This window comes from Homo sapiens, chromosome 5, assembly GCF_000001405.40.
Source record: "Homo sapiens chromosome 5, GRCh38.p14 Primary Assembly".
Classification (NCBI taxonomy): Eukaryota; Metazoa; Chordata; class Mammalia; order Primates; family Hominidae; genus Homo; species Homo sapiens.
In genome coordinates, this window is record NC_000005.10 from 62,570,262 (window position 1) to 62,583,597 (window position 13,336).

Below are 13,336 nucleotides of genomic sequence, written 5' to 3' on the forward strand. Positions count from 1 at the left end.
TTTAAGCTTCTGAAAGTTCTTTGAAAACCAGATATTCCCCTCTCCACTCCCCCCAAAAAAGTCCCACACTTTTTGAAGTATTTTGAGGTGTTTCTATCTTCCTATGTTAGGATTTGAATGGAAATAGTCTGTTTTGGTTTTCATTTTTAATACAAATTTACTTTACCCTTGAAACATACATTAGAACTAAAATGCTCACCTGTTCCTCTTCTGATATCAACCTTATGACACTAATACAATAGCATTGTTTTAAAGATGCTATTATGTGGTAGATCACCATGCTGTGCACTGAGGGCACATTGTACTTCACCTTTAGGATAGATGATTGTTCATTGCACTCTGGCATCTTAGAACAACAATTTGTGTCTTCCATCTCCTGTCCTGACTATTTAGGAAAGTTTCTGAATGCTTGTTAATTTGATACTACGTTCTCAATGCTTTCCTCATATCTAGGAACAGTGCCCTGTCTGCAAATTAGATAAAAGCTTCTGGCAAACTGTTTTCTTATGTAACAGTCATATTATAGACACTGAGTGCGCTTAGCTAATCACTGACCATTCTGTGAGACACTTCTTTTAAACATATCACCTAAGAAAAACTAAACTGTGATCAAATGAGATTATTTTGATGTTTCAGGACCTCAAACTGCTTTACAATGAGAATAAGAGATGTTTCTCAGTGAGAGTGAGGTATTGGGTCCAGAGCCTCAAAGTAGTTGATGTGATATAGAAAAATAATTATACACAGAATAACTAGCTCCAACAAGGATAACACTAGAAAAAGTACTCAGAGGAGTAAAATAATGAGTCTCGTGTGCTTTCTAGTTTTACCCATGTAGATGATGCATGTGTATGTCACAAGTGGTTCCTTCATAGCTCGAGGAACATCTTTTTTGTTTATTTTATTTTATTTCATTTTATTTTTTGGAGATTCTTTTCCTTGAGTTTCTGCTTTTATTCTATCCAGAATACCAGAGAGAAAAATTTTCATTATAATGGAAAGGAAACTAGATTTAGCTTCAGATGCCTGGTCTGCCTACTGTTTGTGTGAAGTTGGACCAGTTTTCTGTCATTCTCAGTTTTCTCATATTTCAAATGGAAGCAGTGATAACAGCTAGCACCTAGGGCTTATTATGATAAATTGGAGAATGTATATATGATGCCTTCTAAAATGCTTAATGAATATGACCACTCAGTAAATCATTGTTTCTACTGTTAAATCAATTTGACCAACTGTGTGATGATACCAGCTTATTCAGTAGGTACATCTCTTTCTTTTGAAAGAGTTTATGTGTGAAGAAACTGATAACAAGAAGTAAATAATAACTAATAGAACACATAATTTGTGATAGCCTTTTGACAATACATTTTTCATATACATTTCAGTTGATTCTTCCAATATCCCTATGGGGATGGACATTATTAAACTTTTTTTTTTTTTTTTTGAGACAGCCTTGCTCTGTCGCCCAGGCTGGAGTACAGTGGCACAATCTCAGCTCACTGCAACCTCCGCCTCCCGGGTTCAAGTTATTCTCCTGCCCCAGCCTCCCCATTAGCTGGGATCACAGGCGCACACCACCACGCCCAGCTCATTTTTGTATTTTTAGTAGAGATAGGGTTTCACCATGTTGGCCAGGCTGGTCTTCAACTCCTGACCTCAGGTGATCCACCCACCTCGGCCTCCCAGAGTGCTGGGATTACAGGTATGAGCCACTGCACCCGGCCTTATTAAACCTTTTAAATGTGTAATCAAGACTAATAAAGGCTAATTACCCACCCAAAGTCAAGTACCAAACTGAAATTCAAGTCCAGTCTATCTTACTCTTAATGTCTTCTCTGCCAGGCTATTGAGTACCTCAAGTAATGCTCTTTTGCCTAATTTTTCTATTCCACAATCTGGTTTTACTATTTCTGAGTCATTTTTGTTAGTCTGATTAGAAAATGAGATCATATTCCTAGATATTTCATTATTAAAGTAAGGTACTTCTTCCAACCACTTAAAACCACATATCTCGTTTTTATTTAAGTTGTTCATAAAAGGGACAACATATCATTCTTCTGTCCTTTCTCTAGAAATCAAGTGCATTTATTAAGAAAGTATTTATTGAGACTCTCCACTGCATTATAGATACTTATCCGGAAGAGATGACATAGAAAATACATTGGAAGTATTATTTGGTGTTTACAACTCTAAAATGCTAGCTTATTCACAGGACACAATACCTTTAAACTATAATATCTTGATTTTATAGTACACAATCATTGTGTATATGTATATTTGTTTGTTTATTTATTTATTTATTTATTTATTTATTTATTTATTTATTTTTGAGGCTTTGAGGCAGGGTCTTACTCTGGTTGCCCAGGCTGGAGTGCAATGGCATGATCTTGGCTCACTGCAGCCTTGACCTCCCAAGCTTAGGTGATTCTCACACCTCAGCCTCCCAAGTAGCTGGGACTACAGGATTGCGCTACCACACCCGGCTAGTTTTTTGTGTTTTTAGTAGAGATGGGATTTCGCCATGTTGCTCAGGCTGGTCTTGAACTCCTGCACTCAAGCAGTCCGCCTGCCTGGGCCTCCCAATATGCTGGGATTGCAGGTGGGAGCCACTGTGCCAGGCCTTTCACATTCTTTCATAGTTAGTTATGAAGTTTGGTCACTGCACATTGTTCATTTTTTGTTTCATTTTCTCAAGTTCCGTTTGTTACGAAAAACCTCCTATCGTAAATTATATACGAACAAAATTTTATATATGGAAATGTGGTAGTATCTTCTTGGGGTGTAAAGCTTTACTGTTTTTTTTGAGATGGAGTTTCACACTGTCGCCCAGGCTGGAGTGCAGTAGCATGATCTCGGCTCACTGCAAGCTCTGCCTCCCGGCTTGTAGCTGGGACTACAGGTACCTGCCACCACGCCCGGCTACTTTAAAGCTTTACTCTTAATTTCTCTGTCTCATTTTTTTATCCATTGTATGAGGGTAATCATAGTACCCTACTTTATAGGGCTCCTGTGAGGATTAAAAAGAGATAATACTTGAAGAATGTTGAGAACACTCTCTGAGTCATAGAAGCACTCTATCAATAAATAGATCTGATCCAGCAGTAGCAAAAGGAGTTAATCCTATATTCTGTTTATCCTAATTTCTCTGCTTCACTAACCTTTCTGACTGTATACTCCTTTTTAAAGTTGTGAGTTAGATTTTATATAGGGAATTTTTCTGAATTACTGAGTAGCTATATTATACTACATAGTAGAAATATGTGTGATCTGTGAGCTGATGGATGAATTATGAGCAGTGGTTATTGTAGTGAGAAAGAACTGCTGATGCTTCTTTGGCGGGTCAAAATAATGGAGATTAAATGGTAGAAGTTCTGTCAAATCCAAGCTATAAGATGTTTCAAAGGCCAGCTGTGAAAAGGTTAGCAATTTGGGTGCCAAGAAGCAGTTAACCATATTCCAATTACAAAAATAGGCATGATTCTGGAGTTATTTTTCACACAGTGGTCAATTTGACTAGTCTCATGCCTGACATAGATAGTATTGTGTGGAGCCTTGATGCCCCTGCAGTATTGTACATATACCTCTCAGCCGTATTGGGTGGTCTTCAGCACTGGTGGCTTAACATTGAGAGTTCCCTTAGGGGTTATTTAGGTTAATCCTTATTTGGTAATAAACTTTCCTTCTGTAACATCTCTGATGGGGATGTTCATTCAACTTCTGTTTGGATACTTGGCTAATAAAAAGTCCCTGGTCCTTAAGGCATCCCATTTTATTGTAGGACTTCTTTCTAACTATAGCTATTTGTTATATAAGTATTATCCTCAAAATACAAACAGTGACTCCCAAATCTGTGCTTTTAACTCCATATGCTAGTTTCTATATTCAATACAGTCTTCATTCATGTAACTTCATCCATTTTATAATATTGTCTGTTGAGGCAAGAAAATAATTTCACAAAGGTTATTATAGTTATTGGAAGAGGCTTAGCTCTCTCATAGCCTTATTAAATCATCTGTTAGGCTAATTACTCCCTCCTCTCTTCTTCTGGTGCATGTGCGTGTGTTTGTGTGTTTAAAACTTTAGGGATTTTAGGGACTATGGTAAACTGGAAATTGTAATATAAGCATAAAATAAGAACCATCAAAATGGAAGGGATTTGCACGAAAGAGAAATTCTAATATAGCTCAGATCTGAACTATAATCTGCTGAGTGAGATTAGTCTATCTCAGCAAAACCCAGAAGGTGGTGGATAGGGTCAGAAGAGAGATTAGTGTTCCAAAGGTTTCATGTGGAGCCAGGGGAAAGAGGAGATATTTTGAATTCTAATCCATCTCTGCTAGCTTTTTCTAAGTTGAAACAGCCCTTCTGTTTAATAGTTCTGCTTTCTGTGCTTTGCAGTGTAAAACTATGCCAATATACATCAAAGAAATTTATCATCATATACTCGCAATGAGGATGGTACCTAAAATTGTCCATGGAAATAAAATATGCTTCTCAGAATGACTGTGTAACAGGAACAGAGATCAAGAAGTTAAAAATGTTCTTCTAAAGTCATGCTGGGGGGTGATTAATAATGTTCCTTGAAAGTGTCCTAGTGTCAGTACATCCTTAGAAAGTATCAGTTTGCTTTTAAAGCCGCATAGTCACAGGCATAGTTGAAATTTTATGCTTCTCATGCATAAAGTGCATAAAGTTTATTTTTTATTCTCATAAATAGATTTGCAGCTAAAAATTTCTTAGTTGATTTTCTTGTTGACAATTGAGCAAATAGAGATATTCATAGTTTTGCCATGTTATGGCAGCACAATATTTGTTTCTGTTTTTATTTTAAAGCATACATTAAAAACTTAGAAATGGTGACATATCTTGGCAGTAATGCTCATGGACAAATTTTACACGGATATCATAGCTACTGTCATGATATTTTCACTTAGAAATTATTTCAGACTTAGAAAAACACTGCAAGAACAATAAAGAACACTCATATGACCTTTACCCAGAATCACCTGTTGTTAACTTTTGTCCCAGTTTGTTGCGTGATACACATTTTCTGTCAGATAACTAGATAGATGTTTTATATTCTGAACCATTTCTGTGTAAGTTGTATTTGCCATGGTCTCTTACTCCTCAGTACTTACAGTCTAGGACCAATTATTGTTTTAGTTCTTGTGTTTTTGTAGTCTCTTTTACTCTGTCATGTCATTTCCTCAGTCTTTTCTTTTTCTCTTATAACATTTTTAAATAATCCACTCCTTATAATCTCTCTCCATCTTTCCAATTGCCTCTCTGTTTTTGTCTCCCATCCATCCTCTCCCCACCTCCCCCAGCAGAATAGAGTGTTCCTCATTTGTGGTTTGATATTTCCTTATGGTTAGATTTATGTATGCATCTCTCGTTAGAATATTGCATAAGTGATGTGTCCCTCTTGGAATATCACAGGCAAAGTCACATGGTGCTCATCTGTTTCTCACTGATGATGTTAATGCTGGTCAAGGTGTTATCTGATTTCCCCACTGTGTATAGTTACTATGTTGTTATTTTTTTTTCTTGCAACTGATAAGAGGTCTATATTGAGATATACTGCCCCTCATTAAAATTTATCTCCTACATTGAGCAAAAGAATTCTCAAATTGTTTGCTAAATTTTTTTTTCCAGGAACACAAGTCCACTTTATTTACCTTTCATTAGTTTAAATCTTTAAGGGGTTACAGCATCTATGTCCAATGGCCTTAGCAGAAGGATCGCTTTGGAATTTGGCAAAAACCATGCCAATGTTTCCTTGGGCCCAAGTTACCTTTCTCTAGAATACTCTGATTTTGTTTGGTTTGCTGCCAGGAGTCACTTGTTGTTCTTTGCTTTGTGTGCGTAAGCACATTTATTGCCCAAATAGAATTCAGTTTCATCTTGGGCATAAACACCTTCAGTTTTAAGAAGATTTGTGTGCTCCCTTTGGTTCCAGAGACCCTGCTTATAGCGCAAAAATGGCCTTGGATGACAGCCTTCCAGAAATACTTGCCTTTTAGAAGTCATGTTCCAAGCAGGCCTCGACAGGCTTCATGATGGCAGGAAGAGCTGGATTATTTTTAATTGCAAATCCCATTTCACATTTTCATTCTCTTGATTTTAGTTCCATCAGTGACTTTTAAGGTCCATAAAATCAGTAACTGCTGTTATTATAAGCCATTCTTTATATGTAAACCAATCTTGATTGGTTTATATATAGATGGTATATATCTAAATACATATAGGCTGGACGCAGTGGCTCACACCTGTAATCCCAGCACTTTGGGAGGCCAAGGTGGGAGGATTACTTGAACCTACTAGTTCAAGACCAGCCTGAGCAGAATGGCAAGACTCCGTCTTTACAAAAATAAGAAAAAGCATGGTGGCATGCACCTGCAGTCCTAGCTACTCAAGAGGCTGAGGGAAGAGGATCACTTGAGACTGGGAGGTCGATGCTGTGGTGAGCTGTACTCACATTGTTGCACTCCAACCCAGCCGACAGAGCAAGACTGTGTCTCAAAAGAATACATGCATCCATACAGATGATGTATATTTAAAAGAGCTAATGGAACAATTGCTCTGTTATTTATACATTCTTGTTTTTGTATGGGGAGAATCTGAATGGAAAAGAGAATAGTTGTGTATTAATACCAGAAGCATGAGATGATTTGAAGACAAAGGCAGTGTAAAAGAAGGTTCAGCAACAAGAATGAGAGGAAAACAGCTCAATGAGTCAATTTCCTGGAAAGAAATAGAAGACTAATTTAAGAGGTTGAGCGTAGTGTTCAGTAATAGTTGTAATGAACATTAGTAATCAGAAAAGGATAATGAGGAATCATTGTTGATCAGTTGTCTCTAAGAACAGCAACTCCTAAATGAACAGAAAGACTAAACTTTGTTTTGCTGGAGATAGGAATTTTTTTTTAAACCATTCAACCTGAGAGTTACAGTGTACTATTTATATTTGCTTGTTTTGTTGAAGTCAGTTTAGTTTCCTTCAGTTTTTAGAATGTGAGAAGTGAGATTTTATTTTGTCATTTTTCCTTAATACAGTTTCCTAAAAATTTTACCTTTGCATCCTAATAAGTGTTCTTTACTGCTTTGGATATTTTTGGCATAAAGAACAAAATTAATTCATACTCTGGTTATATTACTTTGTGGGTTTTTTCTCTTTAATTTTATTTTTATTTCAAAGGACCCTTTCTCTGAATTTTTCCCAAGAAATTGAAAAATCCATGGGACAAGCTTCATATCACCTTGTATATTATTGGAAGTACTAAACAAAATGGACCTGAGAAACATAGCCCCTACCTCAAATTCATATCATTTCTGTCACTTGTTTTGTTTTCCATTTTTAATGCATAAAATAGCAATAACAGTAACCAGCCATAATGGATAGGTGTAAGAATCATAAGTCATTTTGATAACGATCTGCTATCCAGTATGCATTGCTGAATTTTTAGTCATAGAAAGATAATGCTAGGTATTATTTCAGCTTTCTAATATGGACATAATTCATATTATTTCTAAAGTAATTGTTGATGTGAAATGAAACTGCTTTAATATCAAAGGAGAGTTGTATACAATTATATAACTTGATATTTTAGGAATATTATCAGGCTATTAGTAATATTAATAAAAGTCAGAATTAGAAAGCTTAAGCAACTAGCTTAAAGTTAATGAAAGAAAGTTAATGACTGAACAATATATAATATAAACAATTTATATCCGATTCTTTAAATTCTTGAAAAATGACGTTAAAAAATTCTCCATTTTTGTTCTAAAAGATTCAAACTGATACAGATATATATAGGGCGAAACATCGCCTCTTTTACTCTCCCCAATTTTTCTTGCAAAGATAACCTATGTCAGTAAGTTGGTATGCAGCTTCTTAACATCTTATAACCCAACACAACCAATTAGTGCGTTACTACTAATTAGTAGCTTACTACCAATTAGTACCTCACGTATTAAGTAGTACTCAGTATTTTTTGCAACCAAAAATATTTTGAAAATTTTAAAAAGAGCACTGGAGGATAATATAACAACATTTATGTTCATTCTAAATTTTTTCCCCTATTTTTATTAAAGGAATAAAGCATAAAGTTTAAGTCTTCAATGCGTATTTAACACAACATAAATATTTTATTCATTAAAAAGTTTACAAAAAATTGTATTACTCGATATACATCTTATTTGAACTAGCCTTTTCCATTCAGTAGCTATGTTGTTTGATAGCTAGAGTCTGTTGATTGATATTTGGGTTCTGAATAACTAATGTTTTCAAGTATCCTTTAAAAACTATTATTTTTATATTATAGGAGATATTTCAATGTGTATATTAGGAAAACTCTAACTGCATTCTGAAAAAATAAGTTCCTGAGATTTCCGTTCAGCAATACTTTTGAAACACAGATAAAATTACTTCCTGTCTCTTAGCTTCCTGTATCCATGGCAACCTCTGTTTTACACATTGACTGTAAAGGAACCAATGTGAAGAGTGGTGTTTCCTGAGCAAACGGTGACTTAAAAAAAAAAAAAAAAAAGTGGTGGGGTGGAGGTCAGCAGTGCCACAGAACAAACTGGAGTTAAGAAATGTCGTTCTTCAGATTTAAAAAGAAAACCTTTACTGAATCAGCTGAGTGTTAATAATACGAATTTCCTTTTCTTGGTAAGATTATTTACTTAAATATGAACTTCTAGCTGACATGAAAAATAGTTCTGTGAAAAACTGTAATTTAGAATTTAATTGTTCTGTAGTGAATTTGTATTTTCATAAATTATAATGTTATTTGATATTAGACTTTATGTTGTTAAAGGGACATATTAAATTCAAAGATTCTCATTCCTACATCATTTGTCACCTGTGTTGTAATCAATTGTAATTTTTAAGTTAACTTAGCAAATGTTTCATTAATCTGAACTATTTTGTCAAATAGTGGGTTAATGGCCTGATCATGTTAATAATTCTAGAACGTATTCCATACTCATTATTTTTTGCTATTACCATGGTATGATTTATGATAGTATTATTGGCTGATCCTAATTAAAATAGAATACAGAAGTTATAGTATTATAAAAAAAATTCATTTGATGAAGTTTTCGTGATTTAAAGCTTTACCTTCTCTTTTTATAGCCAATTCTGATCTGAACAGAAAATCCAAGAACAGGGATATGTGTGGATTACAGTTTTCTCTGCCTTGCCTACGACTGTTTCTGGTTGTTACCTGTTATCTTTTATTATTACTCCACAAAGAAATACTTGGATGTTCGTCTGTTTGTCAGCTCTGCACTGGGAGACAAATTAACTGCCGTAACTTAGGCCTTTCGAGTATTCCTAAGAATTTTCCTGAAAGTACAGTTTTTCTGTATCTGACTGGGAATAATATATCTTATATAAATGAAAGTGAATTAACAGGACTTCATTCTCTTGTAGCATTGTATTTGGATAATTCTAACATTCTGTATGTATATCCAAAAGCCTTTGTTCAATTGAGGCATCTATATTTTCTATTTCTAAATAATAATTTCATCAAACGCTTAGATCCTGGAATATTTAAGGGACTTTTAAATCTTCGTAATTTATATTTACAGTATAATCAGGTATCTTTTGTTCCGAGAGGAGTATTTAATGATCTAGTTTCAGTTCAGTACTTAAATCTACAAAGGAATCGCCTCACTGTCCTTGGGAGTGGTACCTTTGTTGGTATGGTTGCTCTTCGGATACTTGATTTATCAAACAATAACATTTTGAGGATATCAGAATCAGGCTTTCAACATCTTGAAAACCTTGCTTGTTTGTATTTAGGAAGTAATAATTTAACAAAAGTACCATCAAATGCCTTTGAAGTACTTAAAAGTCTTAGAAGACTTTCTTTGTCTCATAATCCTATTGAAGCAATACAGCCCTTTGCATTTAAAGGACTTGCCAATCTGGAATACCTCCTCCTGAAAAATTCAAGAATTAGGAATGTTACTAGGGATGGGTTTAGTGGAATTAATAATCTTAAACATTTGATCTTAAGTCATAATGATTTAGAGAATTTAAATTCTGACACATTCAGTTTGTTAAAGAATTTAATTTACCTTAAGTTAGATAGAAACAGAATAATTAGCATTGATAATGATACATTTGAAAATATGGGAGCATCTTTGAAGATCCTTAATCTGTCATTTAATAATCTTACAGCCTTGCATCCAAGGGTCCTTAAGCCGTTGTCTTCATTGATTCATCTTCAGGCAAATTCTAATCCTTGGGAATGTAACTGCAAACTTTTGGGCCTTCGAGACTGGCTAGCATCTTCAGCCATTACTCTAAACATCTATTGTCAGAATCCCCCATCCATGCGTGGCAGAGCATTACGTTATATTAACATTACAAATTGTGTTACATCTTCAATAAATGTATCCAGAGCTTGGGCTGTTGTAAAATCTCCTCATATTCATCACAAGACTACTGCGCTAATGATGGCCTGGCATAAAGTAACCACAAATGGCAGTCCTCTGGAAAATACTGAGACTGAGAACATTACTTTCTGGGAACGAATTCCTACTTCACCTGCTGGTAGATTTTTTCAAGAGAATGCCTTTGGTAATCCATTAGAGACTACAGCAGTGTTACCTGTGCAAATACAACTTACTACTTCTGTTACCTTGAACTTGGAAAAAAACAGTGCTCTACCGAATGATGCTGCTTCAATGTCAGGGAAAACATCTCTAATTTGTACACAAGAAGTTGAGAAGTTGAATGAGGCTTTTGACATTTTGCTAGCTTTTTTCATCTTAGCTTGTGTTTTAATCATTTTTTTGATCTACAAAGTTGTTCAGTTTAAACAAAAACTAAAGGCATCAGAAAACTCAAGGGAAAATAGACTTGAATACTACAGCTTTTATCAGTCAGCAAGGTATAATGTAACTGCCTCAATTTGTAACACTTCCCCAAATTCTCTAGAAAGTCCTGGCTTGGAGCAGATTCGACTTCATAAACAAATTGTTCCTGAAAATGAGGCACAGGTCATTCTTTTTGAACATTCTGCTTTATAACTCAACTAAATATTGTCTATAAGAAACTTCAGTGCCATGGACATGATTTAAACTGAAACCTCCTTATATAATTATATACTTTAGTTGGAAATATAATGAATTATATGAGGTTAGCATTATTAAAATATGTTTTTAATAATTTGTGAACAGTGTATTCATTTAGCAAATATTTTCTTTGATATATACTGTATTAAGTAATAATAGCTAACATTTCTGTGTATCAAGCACTGTGCCAAATATTTCACATTTCACATTTAATCTGTGAATAGTCTTGAAAGGTGGCACTATTTATACTTTACAGGTGAGGAAACTTAAAGTTTAAGTAACTATGCCAAATTCTCACAGCTTGTAACACTTTTTGGGCCTCTCTGACTAGAGTTCATGCTTTCAGTTTTATACTATATTGCTGCTTTGGTTCTAGGATTGTGATATGAAAAAAATAGACGTGGTTCTTATTCTAGGTAGAGCTTGAAATTTAGAGGAGGAGATATATGGTTACTGCACAGTGCGATGATAAGTACTGTACTTGGAGATGCTGTTGAGTATAACATTTGTGGAGGTGAGAGATGGCTTTATGAAGAAAGTGACATCAAAACTGGATCACGAAGAATAAATAGAAATTAGCCCAGTGAAGAGAGCTGAGTAACATCGTGTCAGAGGGGTTAACAGAAGAAAACCTGCTGCTTTTCAGGAACTAAAATTCAGTACAGCTGGTGTCGTGAATGATGGTGTGCGATTTAAAGCCCGAAAGAGAGATCAGGTGATGAAAGCTTTATAGTTACATGCTTTATCTTGAGGGCAACAGAGAGCCATTGAAGGATTTTTAAGCAGTAGAGTGAAATGATTAGATTTACCCTTTAGAAATTTCCCTCTTTCTGGAAGGAACAATAAAACCGGAGCCAGAATTAGGTGAGTAGGAATCTGAATTGCTAATCCAGGGGAAAGATGCTAGAGGCCTGGGCCAGGATACTGGCAAAAAGGATGGATGGATCCAGAGGTACTTTGAAAGTAAAATGAACTGCCTTGGTGATTGGTTGAGGCGTGGCAGGGGAGGGAGAAGTCAAAGATGTTAGGTTTTTGGCTTAGGCAGTTTTGTGCTGTATTCACTAAGCTAGGGAAAGAAAAGGGGTGGGGCAAAATAATGAGTCAGTTTTAGACAGATTGAATCTGAGGTTCTTATTAGATCTCCACATGGAAATATATATCATGCAGAAATTCAGAAGCGAGGTCTTATGGTAAAGGCCAATATTTCTTAAACTTTCATCTGTCCAGTACACTGGAAATGTATGATGCACCCTTTACAGTAACAATAACCATTTAAGCTGTGGTTTTGGGAGATAGGTAAGTGGGGAAGAATAAGACCTTGTAGAAGTTGAGAGAGTCCCTAGGAGATATTAGTGCCCTTGATTAAGAATCTTTAATATAGATGGTAATTGAAGTCATAGAAGTAATATAATGGTTTTCTTTATTAGCAAAAATTTGTACTTGCAGAATATTTGTACTGCAGAATATTAGGGATTATAGTAAGTGCCTATGCTTGTTGGTTAGTTAATAGTGACCTGAACCACAAATATGTATTTAAAATTTTTTCTTAATATATTTGAGAGAAAATCAGAAAGGAGCTGAAAAGTAATTTTAAGATATATTAGAAATTGCATAAATAAAGCCCCACCAACCCCAAAGGGTTTTCAAACAATGGTTTGCTTTTCCCTGCTTAGCTGAATGCCTTTTTGGGGATTATAATTTCAGCAGAAAATGTGAATATATTTAAATAAACATTATTTTTCCTAAGTAATTTGTTTTGTTATGGAAGAGCAATCTTTTTGTTCACCTTGAGAGACATTTTTAATAATGTATTTTTTTCTTTGTTGTATCCTCCCAACTCCTACAAATCCAATTATGTTTTTTCTTTAATTACTAAAAGTACTTGTTCATTGGGAAAAAATTTAAACAGTGCAGAAATACATAAGGTAGGCTGAAAACTTCTCCATGCCTCCCTTCCTTACCACCTAAACCGTACCCTCTTAAAGATGTTCACAAGCAACACAGCTGGCTATGTGAAGTTCAGGAAAATTTATATAACAAAGTATTTTTATCTTAAAATTCCTAAATTCAAAAAAGGCAGTTCAGAAAATCTATCAAAATTTTTGCTTTTTGAAAGTATAGCTTCTAATTGATTTAGACTCAACTAGAAAACCAATTATATTAATATCAATTTATATATGGAGCCATAGTTCTATACAGTGGTATTCATTAAATGTTCATTTCAGTCTTTGTCAGCTATTTCCTT

General features: G+C 34.8%; 2 protein-coding genes, 1 long non-coding RNA gene and 1 pseudogene across 4 annotated transcripts in view; 3 read left to right on the forward strand and 1 right to left on the reverse strand.

The window, feature by feature from the left end:
- Nucleotides 1-13,336, forward strand: part of IPO11 (importin 11) — a 215,820-nt gene that overhangs the window by 157,499 nt on the left and 44,985 nt on the right. The gene's annotated exons all lie outside the window — the stretch shown is intronic.
- Nucleotides 5,714-6,010, reverse strand: RPL35AP14 (ribosomal protein L35a pseudogene 14; annotated as a pseudogene).
- Nucleotides 8,474-13,336, forward strand: part of IPO11-LRRC70 (IPO11-LRRC70 readthrough) — a 49,855-nt gene continuing 44,992 nt past the window's right edge. The window contains exon 1 of the long non-coding RNA NR_073584.1: nt 8,474-8,674. This is a non-coding gene — a long non-coding RNA (IPO11-LRRC70 readthrough). The remainder of the gene's footprint in view (nt 8,675-13,336) is intronic.
- LRRC70 (leucine rich repeat containing 70) lies at nt 8,558-11,185 on the forward strand. The gene is made up of 2 exons (NM_181506.5): nt 8,558-8,674; nt 9,140-11,185. Exon 2 carries the CDS (start codon nt 9,178-9,180, stop codon nt 11,044-11,046), a length of 1,869 nt encoding a protein of 622 aa, NP_852607.3. The 5' UTR covers nt 8,558-8,674; nt 9,140-9,177; the 3' UTR covers nt 11,047-11,185.

Bases quoted from the DNA above. Each gene is read 5' to 3' on its own strand.
- LRRC70 (NM_181506.5), top strand. From the start codon at position 9,178: ATGTGTGGATTACAGTTTTCTCTGCCTTGCCTACGACTGTTTCTGGTT.